General features: G+C 44.3%; 1 protein-coding gene and 1 long non-coding RNA gene across 21 annotated transcripts in view, besides 4 other annotated features; one reads left to right on the top strand and one right to left on the bottom strand.

Annotated features, from left to right (window-relative positions):
* Window positions 1-4,127, bottom strand: part of ZNF295-AS1 (ZNF295 antisense RNA 1) — a 15,727-nt gene extending 11,600 nt beyond the window's left edge. Inside the window, exon 1 of the long non-coding RNA NR_119384.1 lies at window positions 3,737-4,127. This is a non-coding gene — a long non-coding RNA (ZNF295 antisense RNA 1). The remainder of the gene's footprint in view (window positions 1-3,736) is intronic.
* Window positions 2,149-2,888: a silencer, noted in NCBI's record as "silent region_13337". NCBI's record gives its function as "represses an Ori minimal core promoter by ATAC-STARR-seq in GM12878 lymphoblastoid cells {active_cell/tissue: GM12878}" and the evidence as "EXISTENCE:reporter gene assay evidence [ECO:0000049][PMID:35858748]".
* Window positions 2,961-26,490, top strand: ZBTB21 (zinc finger and BTB domain containing 21). Of its 20 annotated transcripts, XM_047440795.1 has the most exons (6): window positions 2,961-3,069; window positions 3,724-3,854; window positions 10,360-10,424; window positions 10,758-10,971; window positions 19,213-20,828; window positions 21,432-26,490. In XM_047440795.1, exons 5-6 carry the CDS (start codon window positions 19,226-19,228, stop codon window positions 22,424-22,426), a joined length of 2,598 nt encoding a protein of 865 aa, XP_047296751.1. In that variant the 5' UTR covers window positions 2,961-3,069; window positions 3,724-3,854; window positions 10,360-10,424; window positions 10,758-10,971; window positions 19,213-19,225; the 3' UTR covers window positions 22,427-26,490. The 20 variants fall into 20 exon arrangements, with proteins under 20 accessions (XP_047296751.1, XP_047296749.1, XP_047296750.1 ...); XM_047440793.1 differs by lacking the exon at window positions 3,724-3,854; XM_047440794.1 differs by lacking the exon at window positions 10,758-10,971.
* Window positions 3,329-3,638: a silencer, noted in NCBI's record as "silent region_13336". NCBI's record gives its function as "represses an Ori minimal core promoter by ATAC-STARR-seq in GM12878 lymphoblastoid cells {active_cell/tissue: GM12878}" and the evidence as "EXISTENCE:reporter gene assay evidence [ECO:0000049][PMID:35858748]".
* Window positions 3,679-3,788: a silencer, noted in NCBI's record as "silent region_13335". NCBI's record gives its function as "represses an Ori minimal core promoter by ATAC-STARR-seq in GM12878 lymphoblastoid cells {active_cell/tissue: GM12878}" and the evidence as "EXISTENCE:reporter gene assay evidence [ECO:0000049][PMID:35858748]".
* Window positions 17,500-17,702: a silencer, noted in NCBI's record as "fragment chr21:43415728-43415930 (GRCh37/hg19 assembly coordinates)". NCBI's record gives its function as "represses an EF-1alpha promoter that drives an FKBP-Casp9 reporter gene in an ReSE screen in HepG2 liver carcinoma cells {active_cell/tissue: HepG2}" and the evidence as "EXISTENCE:reporter gene assay evidence [ECO:0000049][PMID:32094911]".

Below are 26,490 nucleotides of genomic sequence, written 5' to 3'. Positions count from 1 at the left end.
CAGAAGCTGAAAGAGGTAAGGAATTTAGACTGAAAGTCAGGCATTGGGCAGGCAGAGGCAAACAAGAAACCTGCAGGGCGGATGAGAGGGTGCTGGCTGGCAAATCCAACATCACCTACACAAGTGGTGTCAACAAAACCTGCACCAGGTGTTATGGGAGCACAGAGGAGGGAGCACCAACCCTAGATACAGCTGAGAAGATGCCAGTCAGGTGGGGTGGGGAGGTGGTGGAATCCTGGAGGAAGAAACACCAATCAAGATGAAATTATCCCATTAAAACAGGGTGGTAGTGGTGGGGGCAATAGCTCAGGCAGAAGGGACAACACACTTGAAGCCCAGAAGCCCAGAGGCAAGAGACAGAGCAAGACTAGTTTAGAGGCCTGCATGTCAGAGTGGAGGTGGGGGAAAGATGGGAGAGGCTGGGCCAAGTCCTCAGGCACTTGTGCGTTGTGGTTTGAACTCTCACCTAGGCAATGGAGAGCCATTAAACCCTATGCAAGGGAGTGGCATGATCCCTTTTGCTGTTTAGAAAAATCGCTTTGGCTGTAATGTGAGAGTGGATTAAAGGAGGAAACCTGGAGGCTGGGAGAGCAGTTAAGCGGTTACGTTACCAGAGAAACACTGAGGAGGTCGGACGGACAGGACTTGGGGATAGACCCAATACTGGAAGTGAGGGAGGAGCCCACCATGGTGCCCACATTCCTGGCTCCAGCAACTGGGCATATGTTCCAAGCATGGATGAGACTGCATAGGGTGTGTGTGCCAAGAAACCCAGTGCGAGCATGGGCAGGGGCAGAAGGGCCAACACAGCCGGCCCAGGAGGAGCAGTCAGCCAAGAGGTGGGAAATCCAGGGAATGAGGCGTAACTGAAGCAATCACTGCTGAAGCAATTGGAAGCGTGTCACAAATCAAAGAGAGCAACTGAAAGATGCAACGGTTTCTGCCAGATTTGGCAGTCAGGTCAATTCCAGTGAAATGGTGAGGCCAAAAGCCTGATCATATAGCTCAAAGCAGAGACACCAATGTGTATCGTCCTGAGGAAGGTTGAAAAAACAAAAAACAAAACAAAACAAAAAAACAGCTAAGCAGGTGGCTAGAAAGGGATCGCTCAAGGGAGGCTGCTTCCAGCATGCGGTAAAGCCAGTACTAGTTTTCTCACCTATAAAACTAGGATAACAGCACACACTCCCCCAGCCTAATCACAGGGGAACCTAAAACTCAAGGTTCTTTTAAGACTTATAATCACTGTTGCCTTCTACCTTCAGAACAGTCACTTTGTGCTTTTCCACCATACAGTTCAAAATACAGACACTCTTTAGGCTGGGCATGGTGGCTCACACCTGTTATCCAAGCACATTGGGAGGCTGAGGCGGGTGGATTGCTTCAGACCAGGAGTTTGAAACCAGCCTGAGCAACATGGTGAAACTCCATCTCTACCAAAAATACAAAAATCAGCTAGGTGTGACGGATGCACCTATAGTCCCAGCTACTGCCGAGGCTGAGACGGGAGGATGGCTTGAGCCAGGGAGTGGAGGCTGCAGTGAGCTGAGATCATGCCACTGCACTCCAGCCTGGGACTGACAGAGACTCCATCTCAGGAAAAAAAAAAAAAAATTTAAAGTGTTTTAAAGTTGTAGGAGAAAATTTTTAGGTGCAAGATTCTTTATGTAAGACTAAGAGTCCTCTTAAAATTAGTCAAACTAATAATCTACAACAGAGCTGTTAATTTGGCAACAAATTTTTAATTTGTATCAATCTAATGTCTGTCTTTCACATACTTCCAAACATTACATAAATTATTTTACCTAGTGCATACAACTTTCAAAAACTGTATTTGGCAATTAACAGACCCCTGACAATTATTAACAGGGGTTTTACATCCCGGAGTTTGAGTGTCTGCGGGAGAACCGTCCCTGCAGGAGGCACTCCCCCTCCACCTGCGACCCGGGCTGGGAGAACGCGCGGAGGGCTCCCTTGAGCGGTCTCCGCCAGCGAGGCTTTCCTCCCGGTCGGTGTTGACAGTGTGGCATTTCTGTTATCTAATTTCTGGTTTTGACTGAAAGCGAAGTGAGTTTTCTCATCAGTGGAGTTGTAATATTTCTGCAAAAAAAAAAAAGATCACAGCCCTCCGATGAGCCGGGCACTATGCGAAGTCTCCGGCTGCCTGCGGGCCGCTGTGGACGCCCCGGCGGGGGTCAGGACCGACCCCCATCTGCGCGGCGAACGAGCCCGGACGCCCTGGCCGCGGCCGCCGGGTCCCCGCCCAGGGGCCAGGTGGCCAGGTTGCGTCGGGAGGAGGAAATGGAAGCGCTCTGAGCGACTAGCGAGCGGCAGGAGCCGCCTCCCGCGGGCTTTCCTCGCGGGCCGGGAGCGTCTGCCGCCGACCCGAGGACCGCAGGGCCCCGCTCGCCGCCCGCGCCCGTCAGAAAGCCGCGCGTCGCTCCCGTCGCTGTCGGGGTCGTCGGCTCGGGGAGTCGCCCGCCGTCCACCGGTGAACGGGAGCGCGTCCTCCCCTCCGAGGGACTAAGCGCTCGCGCCACGCATCCCGCCGCGCCGGAAGCGGGGACTACTGGCGGCCCAGCTGGGCAGGACCGCGGCCGAATGACCCGGGGCGACCCCGCAGCAAGGGCGCCTCCGGCAGGCGGCAAAGTCCCCTGAGAATCGGCGCGCTCCTCGCCGCGACGGACTCCACCCGGCCGGGGCGCTCAGCCTCCTCGCCGTGGCCCCCAGCCCGGCCGCCTCCCCTAACGGCCGCCGCAGGCTCCCCTCATGGACCGAGAGCGCGGGCTTGCAGCGCGGCAGCGTCCGTTCGGCGCGCGGCTCCGGGCAGGCCCGCCCTCCCCCGTCCCCCTGCGCCGCGAGGCCCCCCCCCCGCCCCGCCCTCCGGCGCCCGGCGCCCAATCAGAGTGCCGCGCACGTGACGAGCGATGCCTGCGATGACCTCATCCCTGGTGTGGGATGACGTCAAATTCAAGATGGATGGAATCACAGCGGCAGCGGCGGCTGCGGCGCGCGCGAGCCGAGTGTGAGCGGAAAGGGGCCCGGCGTCTGCCTCGAGACTGAAGACCGGTGAGTAACTGTCACGCCCCTAGCTCTAGGAGAACTGCGGGGCTCCTTGGGAGGCTACAGCCTCCCCGCAAAACGCGGCCTTTCCTGACGTAACTCTGAGGTGATTTCTCTCCTCTTTTTTCTCCACCAGCGGGTTGCGGGCTCCGAGCGCTTCTGCGCGTGCGCGGGACCTGGGCGCTCACCGAGCATGTCCCGGGTTCCCACGTAGCCGATTGTACCTTCACACTGCGCACGCTCCCTGCCAGCACTTGGCCTCGCCCTCGCGAATGCGCATGCTCCATTCCCTCACGGGCTTCACTCTTCACCCTGGCCGAGCTGCCCCTGGGGTAGGGGACACGCCTGGCCCAGGCGCGCGCCCCTCGCGCGGAGCGGTTGAAACGCCTCGTGGAGAAGGGCGCGTTCTCCTGTTCCGGGCAGGGGTTGGGGGCCGGCGGCCCGGGCCGCGGGGTGTGCGCGGAAGCTGGCCGGCGGCCTTGGGGACCCCGCACCTGCCGCGACCCGCCGCTCCCTTCACGGTCCGGGACCTAGCCCCGCCGCCCCGTCCTCGGCCCGGTGGCCGGAGCGTGACCGCTCGGTGCCCGCTGGACGCTCCCTCCCCGCCCCCGGCCCCTCCCGCGGACGCCTGGACCTCACAGCGCGTTTTTTTTCCTCCAGAGCCCCCGCAGACCTTGTCTGGGACTTCCCGGCGGTCCCGCAGAGCATAGCACCCTCCGCCGGCCAGGAGCCCTGCTGCTCGGCCGGCGACCGTCTCCCCGCTTGGAGGAGCCCCCTTCCCCCCGTCCGAGGTCCGCGGCTGGAGGGGCAGGGAGTCAAGACGCCACCCGTGCCGGCCTTAGAGACGCCCGCGGCAGCCCCGCCACATCTCTTCCCGGCTTTTCGGGAACACGCCCCGTAGTCCATCCTCAGCGGCTCCTGCTTTTCCATCCCAGCACACCGCTGGGGGCTCGCACTCTGCCCCCGGTTGCTATGCGGTCCCAGCCACGAGGGCTCTGCGGTTCGGGAGAATTCCGCAAGAGCGCGCGTTCGGAGGCGGGGTGTTTTTAGACAGGTGCCCCGGTGGGATTGCCTGACCGAGAGGACGGGGAAAGTTAGACTTCACACGGCCTGGGGTTTTTCCTTTCGTGCAAGCGCTCACAGCCCTGGCACCGAGCCTCCGAGGGCACGCGTGTGTTACAAAATAGTCCAGCGATTGTTCACACGATGACCCTGAGTCCTCAATTAAGCAGCTTACATTACGGTCCTCATACCTTGTTTAAGAAGACAAGAAAGTGGGTTAATCCATTTTAGAAAGATTTCTCATGGAAAATTATCTTTTAAAGCTTTCCTCGTGTACTTGGAGTAAATGATGATCTCTAAGGACTAGTAGTCATTAAGTTTAAATTTAAGCACCCCTAAATATTGATGTTAAAAAGAAAGTCAAAATTTGAAGTGCTGGTTTACTTAAAAGTAACTTTTTGTTTATTTTTCCTTTTTAACACTTTATTGAAAGTATAATGTGCTTCATTCTGTTGAAATAGAAGTTGAAGAAGATATAACCCCTGCCCTCGAGGAACTTACACTGTTGAATATTAGATGTGTACACTCTGAAGGAAAAATTGTAAATAACAAAATTGGGGTTAAGTTAAGAAGGTCTCTCGATGGAAATGAGATAATTAAAGGGACAATTTTTTCTTTTCTTTTCTTTTTTTCTTTTTTTTTTTTTTTTTTTTTTGACAGAGTTTCACTCTTGTTGCCCCAGGCTGGAGTACAATGGCGTGATCTTGGCTCACTGCAACCTCCGCCTCCCTGGTTTTGCAACCTCCGCCTCCCTGGTTCAAGCGATTCTCCTGCCTCAGCCTCCTGAGTAGCCGGGATTACAGGCTTCCGCCACATCGCCCAGCTAATTTTTTTTTTTTTTTTTTTTTTTTTTGTAGAGACGGGGTTTCATCCTGTTGACCAGGATGGCCTTGAGATCTCCTGACCTCGTGATCCACCCCACTTGGTCTCCCAAAGTGCTGGGATTACAGGCATGAGCCACTGCGCCCAGCCGAAGGGACAGTTTTAGTTGTCCGCAAAGCCAATGGAAGTAGAGAGAGCAGATTATAAGCTATGTAAGAGCTAGGTTTGACCAGGTCACAGTGATAGGCTATAAGGGAAAGAGAAGAAATTTTAGGGTCTGGCAACACACCAAAGTAAATCGGGAATATGTGAGGACAAACAGATGTGGGAGCAGGGACGAGAGTTGTGGAGTTTAAGTACCATGCTGGACCTGAGGATATACTGTGATGGAACCGTTCAGTAGGTACCTGAGAGGCTGGAGCCTCAAGAGTCTAAACAGAGATACAGATTTGGGAATCATCGTCCAGTAGTGATTAAAGTCACAAGGTCTAATAGAAAAAGCAAAGAATACTGCCACGTTTTGGGGCTCTGTAACGGATGCTGGAGAAATAAAGGTGAGCCAGTCCAGGTCTTGAGCCTCAAGTTTGATGATTTCTCTCTTTGCCCTGTACCTAGCTTGCCAGGCCTTGTGCTGGGCATCAGGGATACGTGCATGCAAACAAGGGTTCTTTCTTTAGGGAGTCCCTTGGGGGAGACACATGTAAAAGAAGATTAATTGAAGAAGTTGTGGTGTTATTACAGAGAGATGAAGTATTGTGGTAGTTTAGATGACTGAGCTGCTGGCTAGGGGCAAATTACAAAAGCTTTGTAGAGTCGGTGACATTTCAACTGGATCTTTCGAAAGAAGTTAGCCAAGTAAAGGAGAGGGAAGAGAGAGATTTTGGGTGGCAGAGGCTGGATATGCAAGTTTGTAGAGTAGATGGTAAGTAGTGTCCAATAAGGGTGGAGAGATGAATTGTAACCAGAGTATGAAAAGTCTTGTATGCCAGTCTGTAGTTTGGATTTTCTTTAGGAATAGAAAAATCAGTACAGTACTCCAAAGCAGGGCAGTGATGTAATACGCTTTACTTCAGCAAAACAACTAACAGCCATAATTTTCACTCGTGCATTTAATTGGAGTGAAGAGTACAGAAAAGTCAAATCTTTATTGTTGTGGAAGATAACATGTTGAGCATTGATAATGCCAAAAGATATTAAATAGATTATCAGTCTTTAAATAGCTTTCAGTCCTCTTGGGGAGACACAAATGACTAACAATAAAGGCAGTGAATAAACATGTAAATGGTGCTGAAGTTGAGGTATTTGCACGTTATAAGATGAAGTAGTCAAGGAAGGTATATTCATTTGCTTGGGCTGCTATAACAAAGTACTGCAGACTGGATGACTCAACAGATTTCTTTTCCCACAGTTCTGAAAGCTAGAAGTCCAAGAACAAGGTGTCAGCAGGGTTGGCTTCTTCTGAGGCTTCTCTTTGGCTTATAGATGGCATCTTCTTGTCCCTACTTGGTCCTTCCTCTGTTCATGTCTCTGTGCTAATCTTCCTCTCCTGTAAGAACACCAGTTACATCAGTTTAGGGGTCACCCTAAAGCCCTCATTTTAACTTAATTACCTCTTAGAGACCATGTCTCCAAGTATGACTACATTCTCCAGGTACTGGAGGCTAAGTCTTTATCATATAAATTTGGGAGGGAAGAGTGGGGACACAATTCAACCCATAATGGAAGATTTTATGGAGTAGCTGGAACTTGACCTGAGCTTTGAAAGGTGATTAATATTCTGAGTAGTGTGCTGAGGAGGGGTTTAGGTGAGTTCTAGGACTTTCCAGATTGGGGAGTGGGAGAAGTCAGATGTGCAGGTTAGGTCTTAGAGACAGAGTATCTGGAGCAGAAAGGGATCACTAGGGAATAACTAAGGGAAAGAAAAAAAAATTTTTTTTTTTTTTTTGAGACGGAGTTTCGCTCTGGCTCAGCTGTCACCCAGTGGTGACTGGAGTGTAGTGGCACGATCTCAGCTCACTGCATCCTTCACCTCCCAGGTTCAAGCGATTCTCCTGCCTCAGCCTCTCGAGTAGCTGGGATTACAGGCGCCCGTCACCACACCCGGCTAATTTTCGTATTTTTAGTAGAGACAGGGTATTACCATGTTGGCCAGGCTGGTCTCGAACTCCTGACCTCAGGTGATCCACCCGCCTTGGCTTCCCAAAGTGCTGGGATTACAGGCATGAGCCACCACACCTGGCTAAGAAAATTTTAAAAGTCATTTGAAACCAGATTTTATAGAGACCTTTAGTCATTGTTTTAAAAATTTTAGCCTAATGGAGAACAATTGTTTTTATTATTTTATTTTTAAACAGGATCAAAGCTGGTTCTCTTCATTCAGATCTTAGGTCTCAGCTGAAATATTCCATCAAGGTATTTTCTGACCATCCTCTCTAGGCACTGCATCCAGCGATATAGCACCTTATTTATTTCCACCATAACTTTTAGCAGAATCTGAGGTTGTCTTTTTTATTTGTTTCCTTAGCATCTGATTTATCTCACTAGAAAGTGGGGGTCTTGTCTGTTTGGTGCACCCCTATATTTCAGATAAATCTAACCATGCCTTGTACAGAATTGGAATTCAGTAAATAAGTTGAATTAATAATAGGAATATTTAACGTGTATGTTGGGTGAGCGATCAAAGCTTTGTTCTAAGAAGCTCAGTCTAGAAGCTGTATTAGGATGGGTTTGGAAGGCATGACAAGGAACAGTGAATACCACGTGGAAATATATTAGGGTTCTTTAATAACAAGAACAGAAACTGTCTGGCTTGAATGGAAAAAGTAGTTTATTGTAAAGATACAGGGTTGCTCTTGGACTTAAAAGAAAAGCTAAAAAACTGGGCCAGGAAGAAGGACAAAAACCAAGCTAACTCCAGGAATCTATGTAGCAGGCACTAGCAAGGTTGCATTTTCAGGCCTCCGTTGAGATAAGTCAGCTTCATTTATTTATTGCCTTTGTCATTCTTCTCAGGATTCATATTCCGAGGACAAAGTTTCTGATTGGTTTGGCTTTGGTTGTATGGTTAGCCCAGAGGTAGGGGAGAGGAGCACATCAGGCTGTAGCACACAGTGGGACAAGAGCAGTTCTTCTATAGCAAAATCATGGGGCTGTTAACAGGAGGTGGAATGGCTGTGTAGTGGCTGGAAGAAAACAGCAAAGGCTGTGACCAGAGTCTGCTCTGCTAAGGTGCAAAGGAGCTTGAACTATGTTGGAGTAGGATCATTCTCCTGAATGTGGCCAAGAACAACCATCAAACCAAAATCAAACCCCCTTGTTAGAGACTGAAAGTGTGGTGAAATGGAATACAAGATAGTAACATGACTCCTCTTGAAGGATTGGATAAGCTAGTCTAGGTTTGAAATCTGAGGATATTTGCGTTGTCACCAAGTGAGTGATGATAAGACCGAAACTCAGAGGCAACTTCCTATCACCATCAAATAGTAAAATCCAATGGTAGGTGTTACGGCTAAATCCTGAAATGAGGGTTTGGGGATAAGCAGTCTGTGTGTGTGTGTTTATGTTCCAAAGTCAAATGTAGATGCTTTGTTTTTTTAACTAGGTATTTGCCTTGTGTTACATGCATTCCCTCTTTTTTCTAGTATCATGGTTAGGACTATAGAAGCAATCCCCAACATTCCAAAGGACCCATGTTCCCAGAGTTGAAATCTAGGTTGATGCTGGATGTAAAGAGCCATTTTCCTGTAGAACTGGTAGTAGCAGTTTTGTGGCTAGTCTGGGAGCCAACTTAATTTATAGTGTACCTTAGCTATGACACTAGTCCAAGTAGGTGAGATTATTTTGATCCCTTTCCATCTCTGTTTCTCACCCCCTCACTCACCCCCTGGTACCCTTCTGAGTGCCAAGTCGCTTTGCTTTCCTCTGCTTCTCACTAGAATGCTCTATATTCGAAATTGCCTACCTTCCCTCTCCCTCAAAAATCTTAATTCCATACAACTGATTTAACACTCTATAAAGAGGAAAGTATTTGCATTGAATTAATTTATGTTAAGATATGAGGCCGGGCGCGGTGGCTCATATCTTACAGGTGGCTGGCCTGTAATCCCAGCACTTTGGGAGACCGAGGTGGGCAGATCGCCTGAGGTCAGGAGTTCGAGACCGGCCTGACCAATATGGTGAAACCCCATTTCTACTAAAAATACAAAAATTAGCCAGTCCTGGTGGCTGGCGCCTGTAGTCCCAGCTACTCAGGAGGCTGAGACAGGAGAATTGCTTGAACCCAGGAGGCGGAGGTTGCAGTGAGCCAAGATCATGCCACTGCACTCCAGCCTGGGTGACAGAGTGAGACTCTTCAAAAAAAAAAAAAAAAGATGTGAGATATGAGTCCCCCACCCCCTTAGCATTTATTACCTGAGGAATTTGAAGTGATGGTATGAAATAATCTTCTGGAATCCAGTTCTGAAGGGTTTTGTAGCCATTCCAGGGAATTGGAAGTTGAGGCCAGGGCAAGCCCTTGGAAGGTTTTAAGCCCCAGCAAGGCCAGATGAGCATTTCTGAAAAGCGTCTATAGTAGAAATGTAAAGAATGGAACCTTTAGTATTAGAGGTTGACTATCCCTTATCTGAAATGCTTGGGACCAGAAGTGTTTCAGATTTCAGATTGTTTGGGATTTTGAAATATTCTCATTATACCCAGTGGTTCAGCGTCCCTAATCCAAAAGTCCAAAATGCTCTAATGAGCCTTTCCTTTGTGCATCATGTCGTTGCTCAGAAAGTAGTTTTGGGTTTTTGGACTAGAGATATTCAGCTTGTATTATAATTGTCAAAGGAGTGATGAGTCCCAAGCCTTCCTTAGGACTATTCACTCATAGTTAATAGTGAATAGTTCCCACTATTCACTCTTCCACCCTCCTACACCCTGGCCAAATTAATTGCTTCCTGGAATCAGTATTCCCGTAGCATTCTTCACATCCTTTGTTAATTATTGTCTGTCCTAACATGGAAATGTGAGCTACAGGAGAACAAGAAGCAGGCCAGTTACTCATCTCCCCATCACCAGCACCTCTTGTGATGTGTGGTGGGTAGCAGGCCCACGCAAGCATCTGTGAGGGGAAGTGGAGAAGGAAGGAAGATGTGCATGTGCCACATGGGAAGTGCTGAACGTACTGGGGCTTTCAAACATGTTGCCTCTTCTGTCCTTCATAAAAATCCTATGTGGTGGGTAGTGTTAGCCATGTTTAACAGGTAAGGAAACTAGTCAGAAAGGTTGAGTCATCTTTAGAAGGTTCCATGCCTAATAGGTGGCGGAGCCAGGATTTGAGACAAATAGACTGATTCGAAAGGCTTTTCCATGGAACTGTAAGGTCTTCTGTGAATTGTTAACCATAAAGATTCTCTCATTTTGAAATTTCAGAAGACATGAAGTAGAAACAATCCAGGAAGGCTTTGGGAAGCTATTTGTGTGCGAGGATCAAAGTGGTAAGCAAGCCGGCCCTATTTTAGAAACTGGTTTTCCTGGGGGGTTTTCCTCTTAGTTTTTTCTGTTGCTCGTAAATAGACCTTTTCTCCAAATTTCACCCACTGGTCTTTTAAGAGCTCCAAGGTTTTTCCACCATGACTGAAGTGGCAGAAGTTCTGCCGTGATGAGTCAGGTGGAGATGAGCCGTGGAAAGGAGGGGCGTAGACGGTGGTGGCAGCAGTGCGTGTTTATGTGTAAGATGCACTGCTTCTGTAAGTCGGAGGCCCTGATTACTCATAATGAAAACCTGCATGGAAATTTGGAGTGATGTGCCAGCAAACTTATCGGTCTAGATCTGAAAAATACACTGAGGAGAAAGTACACCCGGCAACAAAGCTCGCCTTATCTGACAGCAGAAGAGCAGAGAAATCAAAAGTTTTTGAGGATTCGGTGTACACAGCCACCAGCCACAAACAGTCTTGCTGGATTATCTCGTGATCGTCAGCAGTTGTGATTTTCCCCCTTTTTACTTACATTCTTGATGGATGGAGCATTTTATATTTTTAGGTAATTGTTAAACTCAAATATACTGACTGTCATTAAAACACAAAAATTCAATATGTTAATTGTCTGTCTGCAGCCAGACTAGGAAAGGGTACATTGTTTTCAAAACTTAATAATTGAATTAAAATGTAAAAAAAACAAGGGCCTTAATGTGAAGGTGAGGGATCTGCATCTCCTAGCTACCCCTGTCTCCTATCTAGACATCTAGAGTCTCTAGATCCTGGGGTACTGGGGAGAATGGACAATGTTGCTTTCCTGTGCAAGATCCTCAGATGACATATTTTAGCCCCCAGGGCGCTCATGCCTCCATCTTCCTCCAGCCTCATGGGCATTTCCTCCCCTATGTGTACCTTTACCTTTCACCAGGCAAAGCCACCTGTGGTTCCCTTGGATTCCTCCTGCTCTGTCTTGTCTCTGTAGTGTTGCATGTACTGCAGCCCAGCCAGCTGATGTGAATCTTGCCCTGCTACTTATTATCTGTCTGACATTGAGCATGTTACTTAACCCTCTGTGCCTCGGTTTTCTCATCTGTAGAATGGAGATAATAATAGTACCTAACTCCTAGGGTTGATGTCAATATTGAGTTAATACATTAAAAGTGTTTTCTTTTGTGTGTGTGGCAGAATAAGCACCCAAATTATAGCTGTTATTGAGTACCTAGTTACTGTTCTACTGAAAGGAATGGAAAATAAATACTCGTCCCTCGAAATGTCCTTCATCCTTCCTATCTCTTCCCAGCATTCCCTATAAAACTTTCTTCGTAGAACGCCCTTCCTGGCCTCCATCTCACCTGGCTCTGATGCCTGTCATCTATACTGCGTCTCTACCTCTGCAAACATCCTGTCTGCTGCTCAGCATACTGGACTAGGCTGATGAATTGACCTGTTCTCTTCCTGCACAAGACCTTAAGCTCCATGAGGCAGGGCCATACTTGTTAAATTGATATCTTCCATGTCTAGAAGGGTTCTAGCACACACTAGACAGATGCTAGCCATAAGTCTATAATTGTCTGGGTGACCTTAGGCAAATGACTTGACCTCTCAATGCCTCAGTTTTCTCATTTGTTTGTAAAAAGGATTGATGACACTGTCTAGTTCAGAAGATGATACGAGAATTGGAAGAGGAAACTAGAGGCAGTGTCGTGTAGGGGTTAAGAGCTTAGCCTCTGGATCCAAGCCAGCTGATGTGAATCCTGCTCTGCTACTTATCTCTATGACGTTGAGCATGTTACTTGACCGTCTGTGCCTCAGTTTTCTCATCTGTAAAATGGGGATAATAATAGTACCTACCTCCTATGGTTGATGTAAATATTGAGTTAATACATAAAAATAACTTCTTTATTTTTGTGTATGTGACAGAATAAACACCCAAATTTTAGCTGTTATTAAGTACCTAGTTACTGTTCTACTGAATGGAATGGAAAATAAATACTCTATAAAGTTATTCTGCACTTGTGTATCAGGAATTTGGACATCTTGAGGCACTTTTCAGGCAGGTGTGATGGCTCTAAATGGAGGTTATAGGAAAGTTAAGTTTTAAATCCCCAATAATTTTCAGGGACAGTGAGTATTTCTCTTACAACTTAACTTTGAATGACTTTATTATTGTCCCCTAGTCCATAGATGTTTTCATCCAAAGAAGATAGAGGTCTGTGATCCAAGAAATTTGAAGCAGTGACTTAGAGCAGAAATAGGGATCATGATACTTTGAATAATGCATAAAGAAGGAAACCTTTCTAAACAAAAGGGACACAAATGTTGCTTTTTTGGCAACGGGATGCATACGGTCTGTGGAATACCATTTGCTTCAGGTCCAGGGATGTAGAAAACTCCCCTTGGTTTAGTCTTCACACTAAAGGGCCAGGACAAGCCCTTGGAAGGGAGGTTTTAGTGTGAAGTGGTTAGCCGTTACCTGTGCTTCGAGTTCTGTTTGTGTCTTAGTTTGGATTCCCCCAAAAGTAGACCCCAAGACAAGGATTCAGAGGTAGACGTTTATTTGGGAACTGATCCCAGGAAGCACAAGAAAGGAAGTAGGGACAGTAAGGCGGAGATGGAGGCTCATAAAGGGTACATTGATGAACAGGTTGCTGCTCACGTGTAGGATATCAAAACTGAATTCTTTAAAAAATCTGAACTCCTGGTTTTTCTGTCAAACCCCATCTCTCCTAAGGATGCCCTTCCAGTTATTTTGGCAGAATACTTAACTCCACACCTTCTGTTTTCTCCTGCAGTCTGTCCACTAGAAATTCTAATGACTCTGCCTTTACCTCCGTTGCTACCACCCTGGTCCCAGCCACCATCCTCTCTCATCTGGGTCATTACAGTGGACTGCAAGCTGGCCCGCAGCTTCCCCCATAACCTACCCTCTGTTGTCTAATCTCAACAACAGAGCCAGAGCAATCCTTTGGAAATGTAATTCAGGTCTTTGTCATTCCTCTGCTCAGAATCTTCAATGGCTGTCCATTTCATCCATAGTAAAAAATAAAGTTCTTCTGGAGGTCTCCCAGCCCTAGACGGTCTTACTTCTTATTGCCTCTCAGATGTCATCTTACATGGCTCCCAGCACACACTGCTCCATCCCTCCTGTTGCCTTAGCTTCTCCCTTTGTTGTGATGTTCTTCCTCCATTTATCTCCATGGCTCATCCCTCGCCTCCTTCACACCTTCTTTGATCCCATTTTGATGAATGAATGACATGAGAAGTTTCTGGTATAGTTTGTAGTGTAGGTTCCTGTACAGTTAGGTGCTATATAAATGGTAGCGACTATTATTATCTTATTTAATTCCCACAATAGCATTATGTGGTAGCTGCTAGTATTATCCTTATTTTATGGCGAGGTAAACTGAGGCTCAAAGAGGTTGGTTAGCCTAGAACAGTGGCTCTCAAAATATTTTGACTGACCCACAGGAAGGAATACATTTTACATCTCAATCCAGTCCATGCTTGCTTATGTGGGTATGTACATATATATAATAGAAACAAAAGTTTCTCAAGCTCATAATTAGCCTTATGACATTTGATGCATTCTGATATTTTCTACTCTGTCCTAGTCATTTATTTTTTAATTGCTAGTTTTAAACCACCAAGTTGAGTTTAAGAACCCCTTTTGACAAAGACTATCCAAGCCTTTAAATCTGTACCTTTAATTCTGTGTTACAGCTTTTCCCTGTGGCAACATCTGAACTAGCTTTGTCAAAAATTATTAGTGCTAAAAACTCCTCAGTACCCAGCTGAGTCAATACGTGTAACATTATAAGCTTATGTCTTTTTCTGCTGATCTCTGTAAAAGATGGTAAGGGTTTCTTCATACAAATAGATGTAAAGAAAGTATAGTAGGATTAAGGAAAATTTAAATGACTAAGAGAAGAAAAAGGAAGGGAAATTATCAAGTAGTCACAAATAGAATAATTTTTTAAAAAAATAGAGGAATTAAAATTTACCATTTACTTTGAAAGGATGGTAGGCGGGAGTGGACAGAAACTTGGTACAGTCTGACCAAAGTAGTTGTTTGTGGACAGGCTAAAGGCATCATCTCTAGAAGCAAAGTCCTGTGTCTCAGTCGGTTAAATTGAGTCGCATCTTATCAGGGAGTCAGAAGGAATTGTATACCGTGTGTGGCCACTCCCAGGTTGACAGCCTAGGAGACTCTGGGCTCTTCCTGAAGAGCCTGGTGGCTGGGGTAACCAGCAAAGGCCAGAAGAGAACCTACAAATGAGCTGGGGTCAAGTTTGGTTCATCTACAGTTTGCCCGCTAGAGAAAGATAAAACCGTCACAGATAGTTACTTGGGATTCATGTAATCTTAAAAATAAATGTCTTAACAATATTTGAAAGAAAATATGGCATTATAAAATGAAAGGGATGAGCCAGCTGTGGTGGCTCACACCTGTAATCCCAGCACTTTGGGAGGCCGAGGCAGGCAGATCACGTGAGGTCAGGAGTTCGGGACCAGTCTGGCTAATATGGTGAAACCCCAACTATATAAAAATACAAAAATTAGCTGGGCGTGGTGGTGCACGCCTGTAATCCCAGCTACTCAGGAGGCTGAGGCAGGAGAATCGTTTGAACCCAGGAGGCAGAGGTTGCAGGGAGCCAAGACTGAGTCATTGCACTCCAGCCTGGGCAACAGAGCGAGACCCTGTCTAGAAAAAAAAAAAAAAAATGAAAAGGATGAGGTGTTAGAGGAACAGAAGCCTAAATAAAGGGTCAAATACACAGAGTCAGGCATTGTCTCTGCATGAAATGGCTTTGTCTGCATCGAGAGTATGGTGGGGTTAATCTGCCCACTTTCTTTGATACTGAATTAGATGCCTATTAATCCTGCAATTTCTGAAAGTTAAGTGCACATTTGTTGAGTTTTCTTTAGATGAACTCTTTGCAACAACCCTGCAAGAGGAGGGCACAGTTGTCATTCCTAACTCAGGTGAGGGATCTGCCACACCGAGAGGCTAACAGAAACACCCAAGGACAATCAGCCAGCCTGCAAGGAACTGGCATCTCAACCCAAGTGTCTGGCACCAGAGCTTGCACTCTACCACTAGGCCTCCTCTTCTCATGTTTAGATTTGAAGAGCATTTCAGTGAAATATCAGTTTAAACTCTTTAATTAAATTTAGAACTAGGCTAAAGTTTCCTTTGTGCTATTGTTGAAAATGTGATTTGGTAAGAAAATAGTATTCATGAGATTGCAAGGCAAATAGCATAAGAAAGAAAACAAACTTATTCTTCAACACTTCTAATCTTTTTTTTGTTTTTTTGTTTTTTTGTTTTTTTTTTTTTTGAGACAACGTCTTGCTCTGTCAACCAGGCTGGAGTGCAGTGGCGCAATCTTGGCTCACTACAACCTCCACTTCCCAGGCTTAAGTGATTGTCATGCTTCAGCCTCCTGAGTAGCTGGGATTACAGGCACATGCCACCACCCTCGGCTAATTTTTGTATTTTTAGTAGAGATGGAATTTCACCATGTTGGCCAGGCTTGTCTCGAACTCCTGACCTCAAGTGACCTGCCCGCTTTGGCCTCCCAAAGTGCTGGGATTACAAGCGTGAGCCACCGTGCCTGGCGTAAACACTTTCATTAGTAATTAGCAAATAATTTTTTGCTTTCCAAATTCTTTTCTATTTTTAAAGGTCTCTTGGCCAGGCTCAGTGGTTCATGCCTGTAATCCCAACACTTGGGGAGGCTGAAGCAGGAGGATCTCTTGAGCCCACGAGTTGGAGACCAGCCTGAGCAACATAGTGAGGCCCCATTTCTAAAAATAAAAAATAAAAAAAATTACCCAGGTGTAATTAGTCCATTTTCACAATGCTAATAAAGACATACCTGAGACTGGGTAACTAACAAAGAAAAAGAGGTTCAGTGGACTCACAGGTCCATGTGACTGGGGAGGCTGTGTAATTATGGCAGAAGGCAAGGAGTGCAGGGCACATCTCACATGGTGGCAGGGAAGAGAGAACTTGTGCAGGGGAACTCCTCGTTATGAAACCATCAGCTCTCCTGAGATTTATTCACTATCACAAGAAGAGCATAAGAAAGACCTGCCCCCATGATCCAGTTACTTCCCACTGGGTGCCTCCCAGATGTGGGGAATTGTGAGAGCTACAATTCAAAATGAGATTTTGCTGGGGACACAGCCAAACTGTATCATTCCACCCTGGGCCCCTCCCAAATCTCATGTCTTCACATTTCAAAACCAATCATGCGTTCCCAACAGTCCCCCAAAGTCTTAACTAATTTCAGCATTAACTCAAAAGTCCACAGACCAAAGTCTCTTCTGAGACAAAGCAAATCCCTTCCGCCTATGAGCCTGCAAAGTCAAAAACAAGTTAGTTACTTCCCAGATACAGTGGGGGTACAGGCATTGGGTAACTACAGCCGTTCCAAATGGGAGAAATTGGCCAAAACAGAGGCTTACAGGCCCCGGTGCAAGTCCAGAATTCAGCAGGACAGTCAAATCTCAAAGCTCCAAAATGATCTCCCTTGACTCCATGTCTCACATCCAGGTCAAGCTGATATAAGAGGTGGGCTCCCATGGTCTTAGGCAGCTCTGCCCCTGTGGCTTTGCAGGGTATAGCCCCCACTCCTGGCTGCTTTTATGGGCTGGCATTGAGTGTCTGTGAGTTTTGCAGGCACGCAGTGCCAGCTGTCGACGTATCTACCATTCTGGAGTCTGGAAGATGGTAGCCCTCTTCTCACATCTCCACTAGGCAGTGCCCCAGTGGGGACTCTATGTGGGGGCTTCAACCCCACATTTCCCTTCTGCATTGCCCTAGCAGAAGTTTCTCCATGGGGCCCTGCCCCTCATGGAGGGGACACAGCCCTGCAGCAGACTTCTTCCTGGATATACAGGTGTTCTCATACATCCTCTGAAATCTAGGCGGAGGTTCCCAAACCTCAGTTCTTTACTTCTGCACACCTGCAGGCTTAACACCACATGGAAGCCGCCAAGGCTTGGAGCTTGCACCATCTGAAGCCATGGCCCAAGCTGTACCTTGGCCCCTTTCAGCCATGGCTAGAGCACCTGGGACACAGGGCACCAAGTTCCTAGGCTGCACACAGAAAGGGGGCCCTGGGCCTGGCCCACAAAACCATTTTTTCCTCCTAGACCTCTGGGCCTGTGATGGAAGGGGCTGCTGCAAAGGTCTGACATGTCCTGGAGACATTTTCCCCATTGTCTGGGTGACTAACATTCGGCTCCTCCTTACTTAGGCAAATTCCTGCAGCCAGTTTGAATTTCTTCTCAGAAAATGGGATTTTCTTTTCTATCGCACTGTCAGGCAGCAACTTCTCCAAGCTTTTATTCTCTACTTCCCTTATAAAACTTAATGCCTCTAACAGCACCTGAGAACCTCTTGAATGCTTTGCTGCCTAGAAATTCCTTCTGCCAGATACCCTAAATCATCTCTCTCAAGTTGAAAGTTCCATAGATCTCTAGGGCAGGGGCAACATGCCACCAGTCTCTTTGCTAAAACATAACGAGTCACCTTTGCTTCAGTTCCCAACAAGTTCCTCATCTCCATCTGAGACTACCTCAGCCTGGATTTCATTGTCTGTATCATTATTGGCATTATGGTCAAAGCCATTCAGCAAGTCTCTAGGGAGTTCCAAAGTTTCCCACATTTTCCTGTCTTCTTCTGAGTCCTCTAAACTGTTCCAGCCTCTGCCTGTTACCCAGTTCCAAAGTCGCTTCCACATTTTCGGGTATCTTTTCAGCAGTGCCCCACTCTACTGGTATCAATTTACTGTATTAGTCCATTTTCACACTTCTAATAAAGACATACCCAAGACTGGGTAACTTACAAGAAAAAGCGGTTCAGTGGACTCACAGTTCCACGTGGTTGGGGAGGCCTTTTAATCGTGGTGGAAGGCAAGGAGGAGCAAGTCACATCTCACATGGCAGCAGGGAAGAGAGAACTTGTGTAGGGGAACTCCTCTTTATAAAATCATCAGATCTCATGAGGCTTACTATCATGAGAAGAGAACGAGAAAGACCCACCCCCATGATTCAGTTACCTCCCACTGGGTCCCTCCCACGACGTGGGAATTGTGGGAGTTACAATTCAAGAGGAGATTTGGGTGGGGACACCACCAAACCGCATCACCTGGCAAGGTGGCATGTGCTTGTGGTCCCAGCTACTCAGGAGGCTGAGTGGGAGGATTGCTTGAGCCCAGGAGATTGAGGCTGCAGTGAGCCATCATGGTGCCACTGCACTCCAGCCTGGGTGACAGAGAGATACCCTGTCTCAAAATAAAAACAAGGGTCTCACAAGACCTGCTTTGCAACCAATTGTTAACAGTTCACATTATGTTTAAGTATATGTAGTAATAAAGCTGATTTTCTTTCAGAATTATAGACTTCAGGGGTTTGATAATTCGTACTTGTTTTCTGAATTGGTAAGGAATAGTGCCAAGCATCAAATGGATAAGGACCCTAAATAATAAACCTTTATTTTCAAATATTGCTTCCATATCTACCTGCCAAGTTCTGGCAGCCTTTTTGATGATATACAAATGCCTATATTATAGTTCCTGCAATTCTTCTATTTTAATGAGGACCTACTTAAACCACGAGACTTATTTTACATTTTCACCATTATTTAAATAAGATTGTTCATTCATAGAGCTTCTGTTAGCCTACGGTCTGCTAAATATTGGTACCTATGCAAAGACAGCTGATGTTCCCTGCTCTTGAGGAGCCAGGGGAACTTTTCACTGCAATATCTGTAGTAATTTTACATTTTGTCTTTTAGATAAACTCAAGCCATGGAGGGATTACTGCATTACATCAACCCTGCACACGCCATTTCTCTCCTAAGTGCCCTGAATGAGGAGCGTCTCAAAGGACAGCTGTGTGATGTGCTGCTGATTGTTGGAGACCAAAAGTTCCGAGCTCATAAAAACGTCTTGGCTGCCAGCAGCGAATACTTTCAGAGTTTATTCACAAATAAGGAAAATGAGTCACAAACTGTATTTCAGCTTGACTTCTGTGAGCCAGATGCTTTTGATAATGTTTTAAACTACATTTATTCTTCCTCTCTATTTGTTGAGAAGAGCAGCCTTGCTGCTGTGCAAGAACTTGGCTATAGTCTTGGGATTTCCTTTCTGACTAACATCGTTTCTAAAACACCTCAAGCCCCCTTTCCAACGTGTCCTAATAGAAAAAAAGTGTTTGTAGAAGATGATGAAAACAGTTCTCAAAAGAGAAGTGTCATTGTTTGTCAAAGTAGAAACGAAGCGCAAGGAAAAACTGTTAGTCAAAATCAACCCGATGTAAGCCATACTTCCCGGCCCTCTCCTAGCATTGCAGTCAAGGCCAATACCAATAAGCCACATGTCCCAAAACCAATAGAACCACTTCATAATTTGTCATTAACTGAAAAGAGTTGGCCGAAAGATAGTTCTGTGGTATATGCAAAGTCTCTTGAGCATTCTGGATCTTTGGATGATCCTAATAGAATCAGTTTGGTGAAAAGAAATGCAGTGTTGCCTTCAAAGCCTCTGCAAGACAGAGAAGCTATGGATGATAAACCAGGTGTGAGTGGTCAGCTTCCAAAAGGAAAAGCTCTAGAGCTGGCTTTGAAGAGACCACGGCCACCTGTTTTGTCTGTTTGTAGCTCATCAGAGACTCCCTATCTATTAAAAGAAACTAACAAAGGAAATGGTCAAGGTGAAGATAGAAACTTGTTGTACTATTCAAAGTTAGGCTTAGTGATCCCATCCAGTGGATCTGGTTCTGGAAACCAAAGCATTGACAGGAGTGGCCCACTTGTTAAGAGTCTCCTCAGACGGTCATTGTCGATGGATAGCCAGGTTCCTGTCTATTCACCTTCCATAGATTTGAAATCTTCCCAGGGATCATCTTCGGTGTCCAGTGATGCACCAGGGAATGTGTTGTGTGCTTTATCTCAGAAGTCATCTTTAAAAGATTGTAGTGAAAAAACAGCCCTAGATGACAGGCCTCAAGTGCTACAACCGCATCGCCTCAGGTCCTTTAGTGCTTCTCAGTCAACAGACAGGGAGGGAGCTTCCCCTGTGACTGAGGTGCGCATAAAGACTGAGCCCAGCAGCCCGCTGTCGGACCCCTCGGACATCATCCGCGTCACTGTGGGAGATGCGGCAACAACAGCAGCTGCCTCATCTTCGTCGGTCACAAGAGACCTGTCTCTGAAAACAGAAGATGACCAAAAAGACATGAGCAGACTCCCAGCAAAAAGGAGGTTCCAAGCGGACCGAAGATTGCCGTTTAAGAAGTTAAAGGTGAATGAGCACGGGTCTCCTGTGTCAGAAGATAATTTTGAGGAAGGCTCAAGCCCTACTCTCCTTGATGCAGATTTTCCAGATTCTGATTTGAATAAAGACGAATTTGGTGAGTTGGAGGGGACGAGACCAAACAAAAAATTTAAATGCAAACATTGCCTTAAGATCTTTAGATCAACAGCAGGTCTTCACCGTCATGTTAACATGTACCATAACCCAGAAAAGCCCTACGCTTGTGACATCTGTCACAAGAGGTTTCACACCAACTTCAAAGTGTGGACACACTGTCAGACCCAACACGGCATAGTGAAGAACCCATCACCAGCCTCTAGTTCACATGCTGTTTTGGATGAAAAATTCCAAAGAAAGCTGATTGACATAGTGAGAGAGAGAGAAATTAAGAAGGCCCTGATCATTAAGTTAAGGCGCGGCAAGCCTGGTTTTCAGGGACAGAGTAGCTCCCAAGCACAGCAAGTCATCAAGAGGAACTTGAGATCTCGAGCCAAAGGAGCTTACATTTGTACTTACTGCGGAAAAGCGTACCGCTTTCTCTCTCAATTTAAGCAGCATATAAAAATGCATCCAGGAGAAAAACCCCTTGGAGTAAATAAAGTTGCTAAACCAAAAGAGCATGCTCCTCTTGCAAGTCCAGTAGAAAACAAGGAGGTTTACCAGTGCCGCCTCTGTAATGCTAAGCTCTCTTCTCTCCTAGAGCAAGGAAGCCACGAGCGGCTGTGCCGGAACGCGGCCGTCTGCCCTTACTGCAGCCTCAGGTTTTTCTCGCCCGAGCTGAAGCAAGAACACGAGAGCAAGTGTGAGTATAAGAAGCTGACCTGCCTCGAGTGCATGCGCACCTTCAAGTCCTCTTTCAGCATCTGGCGGCACCAGGTTGAAGTCCATAATCAGAACAACATGGCACCCACCGAAAACTTTTCTTTGCCCGTTTTGGACCACAATGGTGATGTGACTGGTTCTTCAAGGCCCCAATCCCAGCCTGAGCCCAACAAAGTAAACCACATCGTCACCACAAAAGACGACAACGTGTTCAGTGATTCTTCAGAACAAGTTAACTTCGACTCGGAAGATTCCTCTTGTCTTCCCGAAGACCTTAGTCTTTCCAAGCAACTGAAAATCCAAGTCAAAGAGGAGCCTGTGGAGGAGGCTGAAGAAGAGGCACCCGAGGCCAGCACAGCCCCCAAAGAAGCGGGTCCTAGCAAAGAAGCCAGCCTGTGGCCCTGCGAGAAGTGTGGGAAGATGTTCACGGTGCATAAGCAGCTGGAGCGTCACCAGGAGCTTCTGTGCTCTGTGAAACCATTTATTTGTCACGTGTGCAACAAAGCTTTTCGCACTAATTTTCGACTCTGGAGTCACTTCCAATCGCACATGTCTCAGGCTTCAGAGGAATCGGCACATAAGGAATCTGAGGTGTGCCCTGTTCCCACAAACTCTCCCTCTCCACCACCTCTGCCACCGCCACCACCACTGCCCAAGATCCAGCCTCTGGAGCCTGACAGCCCCACAGGCCTGTCCGAAAACCCAACTCCAGCCACAGAAAAACTGTTTGTGCCCCAAGAATCAGACACCCTTTTTTACCATGCCCCACCCCTTTCAGCAATCACATTTAAAAGACAGTTTATGTGTAAACTTTGCCACAGGACATTCAAGACTGCATTTAGTCTTTGGAGTCACGAACAAACACACAATTGAAAGACCAACACTTTTTACCTATGGGAGGCAGTCCCCAGATTTCAACCTGAATTGTGAAATGTGTCATAAGAAACAAAATATTTTTTAAACAAGAATAATAAAGGTTGGAGATTGTTACGCTTGAAATTAAGTTGGAGGCAAATTGATAATTACTTAGTAATGTCCTTAACTTTAGAAATACAGCTTTTAAAATATTGTGGTTCTGGACCTTACAAGAACAAGATGGTTTGATTTCATTAATGTTGAAATTGGATTAGTCTTGATTGTGTGCATGGTTCCTCATTCCATGGTGTCAGTATAATCATTTAATTGAGGTTTTTGGTTTTTTATTGATTAGTGGAATACTGTCGAAGTATTCCTTCTTTTAATTATTTTAGACACTTGAGTTCTAGTTAAATCTTAACCATGTTCTTAAGTCCAAAATAGGAAGAAGTGGAGTAGTTTGCAGTATTGATTTATATCTTAGACTACTTTAGCAATAAAAGATAAATCTCAACTTTAATAAGTTATCCTGACACTTGATAAAAATAAATATTTGGTATTTTGTGGTCATGTAAAACTTCTTTTTGTATGAAAATTGTGAGAAATTTAAATCAGCAATAGTAACACTTAGATTTTTATAAACTAACAAAAACTTGCTCTCAGTCAATATAATAAATGATAGTTAAACTCTAAGGAAGACCTGGGAAATGAAAACAATTTATGGAAGTCCCCTACAGTCAGTTTATAAGGGCTTCAGTAGTGATAGACATTGTTATAAAAACTTGTACCATGTTACATGTACACTGCACCACAGTCTAAATTCAGACCAGCATTTGAAGGACTGCACATATTTCATTTCCTCTGATTTATGCTGTCACAAATTGAAAATCTGAGTGTAGTTAGGACAAAAAACAAAGCTAACCATATGGCACTAATTTTGATTTTAACATTAGTGTAACAAATAAGGTCGGGACATATATTTACATAGATCCCAGACACTCAAGAATTAGCACAGCTGATGTAAAATTCTAAATTACCATTTACTTCCAGATAGAGCAGAGGAGAAACACCTCACTGCAGTTTCAACATGCTTTCCAAGAACAATATATACGACATATACATTTTCCTGCCTCTCTCTTGTGACAATTTCTGTTAGAATTTGTTGGGGGTCTGATGGTTAAAATCATGGGCAAGGCCATTCTCTACATCATTGCTTAATATTTCAAAAATAGGTATTAGAGCACTATCAGTGGTCCAAAATTAGTTTTAGCTACTTATTTTGCTCCATGGGTTTTGGGCTTTTCAAAGAATACTATGTATAATTTGTAATTGAAAGCCTTTCAGTAGGATATCCAAAGTTCAATGTGTTTCAAAAGGGAAAACTTTTACTTGTGGGGGTGGGAGTTAGATGTATTAAAAAAACGAAACTACAAAATCCTTTTAAGAAAGTAATACCAATTTAGACTCTAGTTTGTGTTACGAGGTATTCTTTCAAATTTTTTTTAAAAGCCAACTACTGTCATTAAGAAATAATTTTAGATTTGTGCTCTAGCAGAAAATAACTCTGTACCCATCAATCTTATTGCCAACATTCCATACCAGTGGTAGGAAAGATATTCTCATTTTTTTTATTGAACCAGACATTTTTATAAAATACTGATTGACTTTGTACATTATGGATATTATATATGAAATTTTGCCTTGTATTCTTTCACTTGAAAAAACTCCAAAATTCCACAATATTTTAGTAGTTAACTTCCTATTCTTTCTTAAATTTGATGGAGAAGGGAAAATAAATTGCAGTTATTGATTCTTGCCATCTTTGTTTTCTTAAAGAAATCTATGCATTTTAAGGATAAAACTAAAGCATATGGGTTTACATGAAACATCAGGATGGATTATTGTACATTGAATTCATTCCGCGTATAATGTGGTATTTCTTACTCTGTCCATCTTGGTAGCTGTCACTTCAAAAGAAGACAGTTTCCCTGAGTAATCATCACCTACATGGCCATTAGAGTATCTATCGGTGATAATTCCATGATACAGAGTATCTTGGCATTATAAATTCAGTATCCCAGGACCTAAACCTTTATGCTACATTTTCGAAGATTTTTTAAAAATAATATTGTTAATCAGTAAAAAAAAAAAATATTTTTGATCTAAACATAGGTTCTGCATATCTGTTAGATTTTAAAAATGACTGGTGTTTTGTCTTCACATTTTTGTCTAAGCAAGGAATATAAGATTTCAAATAAAATTTTGAACCAAAAACATTTATAATGCCGTTCTGGTTTTTCTATTACTTTTTATACTGTACTTTAAAAGCATTAGGCTGAAAGAGTTTATTTTGGTGGTCAAAAAAAATATGCTTCCACTCATGTAACTATTTTAAATGTTAAGAAGTAAAATAATGAAAGATATGTTAATTACTTTATTCAGTAAAGTTTTTTAAGAATGTTTATCTCAGCCAGTAGGCAAATACTTGGTGTAAAACAAGTTGGTCTTAAATTGTTGCAACTCATTAGCTAGTGAAGATATTCATGTAAATATATTTTAGGATTGTAATTAATTTTGAAAATGTAGAAAGCTCTTTATTCCATGTAAGTATGCAGGATGCCTGCTTTTTTATGCAGTTGTGGAAAGAATGTAAAATGTTTTAATATATTCTTTGTTAATCTGAGAACTTGATACTGAATCGTTTATGTGGGAGAAGGAAGGAGTAACATAAAACATGTTTTTATCACTCAAAGTAAGCAATGGAGGTAACAAATATTGTGCATTTTAACAGTAATATTTGAAGATTTGTAGAATATTCACCTTTAAAACTAGTTAGTATGCATTTATAATTTTACCAGAATATACAACTAACAATTCAACAGTGATGTTCTTTGCATTTGTGGGGAGATGTGTGATGTTCTTGGTTTTCTGGTTTGGAATGGAACGTTTATAGCCTTGCCTGTAAAAATGTGCCCCAGCACTTAATGAGTGACCGTTTGAATCCATATGTAGTCCCATTGGTGCTAATGAGAGTAGCTGCTGTGAAACAGGAATAAAATGTGTCTGTTCACGGAGGTGCGGTGTGGATGCACCTACAAGGCCAACTCTCTGATCAGGGTGAGGGAGAGATGGAAGAATTAACAGATCTAAAGTTGGCCTTTGTTGTCTCAAATTGGGTTTGTACACACATGCATGCATGTGTGTATACAACTGTAATCTGGAACTTCAGGAAGTAAAATTATTTGAAGTTTCTTAGTAAAAAGTAATTAGGTATAATTCCAAATAGATTTCTGTATAAATTGTATCTAACTGGATTACAAGTCAGTTTGACAATTTACGATGTCTCAGTGATGTTTCTGCAATAATTGTGAAATGCATTATTGATTTAAATAATGCTGACACGTACTCTTTAAAAGTGTTCTTTAACACTGACTACTAAACTTTAAGTTTTAAAAAATAGGTTTTCATTTATGGCTTTTTGTGGTTTTAGCACTTTAAGAAGTTTAATTTTTTGTAATTTTTAATATGCTCTTTCAGTGTATCTCAGCGGGTACTCCAGCTTGTGGCATTCCCATGTGACTGGGGAGAAGACAAAATTGGTGTTTAGATTCTGGAGGAGAAAAAATGAGTTACAATGTCAGGTGTTTTTAAAAATTCCTTTTAGAGACAGTCTTTTGGGAACCAAAGTATTTTACTGTAAATCTTTAAAATAACAGAATTCAGTGCTCTTTCATTTGTTAATGCTGTCCAGATTTTTCACACAGTTATACTCAGTTAATACTAGTTTTCAGAACATTAGTCCAAGGCTATTTCAAGTTTTCCATTGAATATATGCTTATGGTTAAAAGAAAAACGAATGGTTTTATAATTCTGTGTATTTTGTCATATGCCTTAGCAGAGTAAGTCATTTTTCCATTTTACTTAGGAATAAGCTTTTTCGAACTGAAAATTCATGGTAAAATAGGATTTCTATCTAATGTTAATCCATTGCTTATTTGTATTCAATTCCATTGTCTACAGTTTGCTTAAATGTTGACTAAGAATGATTGGAGTCAATAAATTTGTACTGTATTTTGCTTCGA

The sequence above is a fragment of the Homo sapiens genome, chromosome 21, assembly GCF_000001405.40.
Source record: "Homo sapiens chromosome 21, GRCh38.p14 Primary Assembly".
Lineage (NCBI taxonomy): Eukaryota > Metazoa > Chordata > Mammalia > Primates > Hominidae > Homo > Homo sapiens.
This window is presented reverse-complemented; position numbering and strand designations above follow the sequence as displayed.

Bases quoted from the DNA above. Each gene is read 5' to 3' on its own strand.
- ZBTB21 (NM_020727.5), top strand. From the start codon at position 19,226: ATGGAGGGATTACTGCATTACATCAACCCTGCACACGCCATTTCTCTC.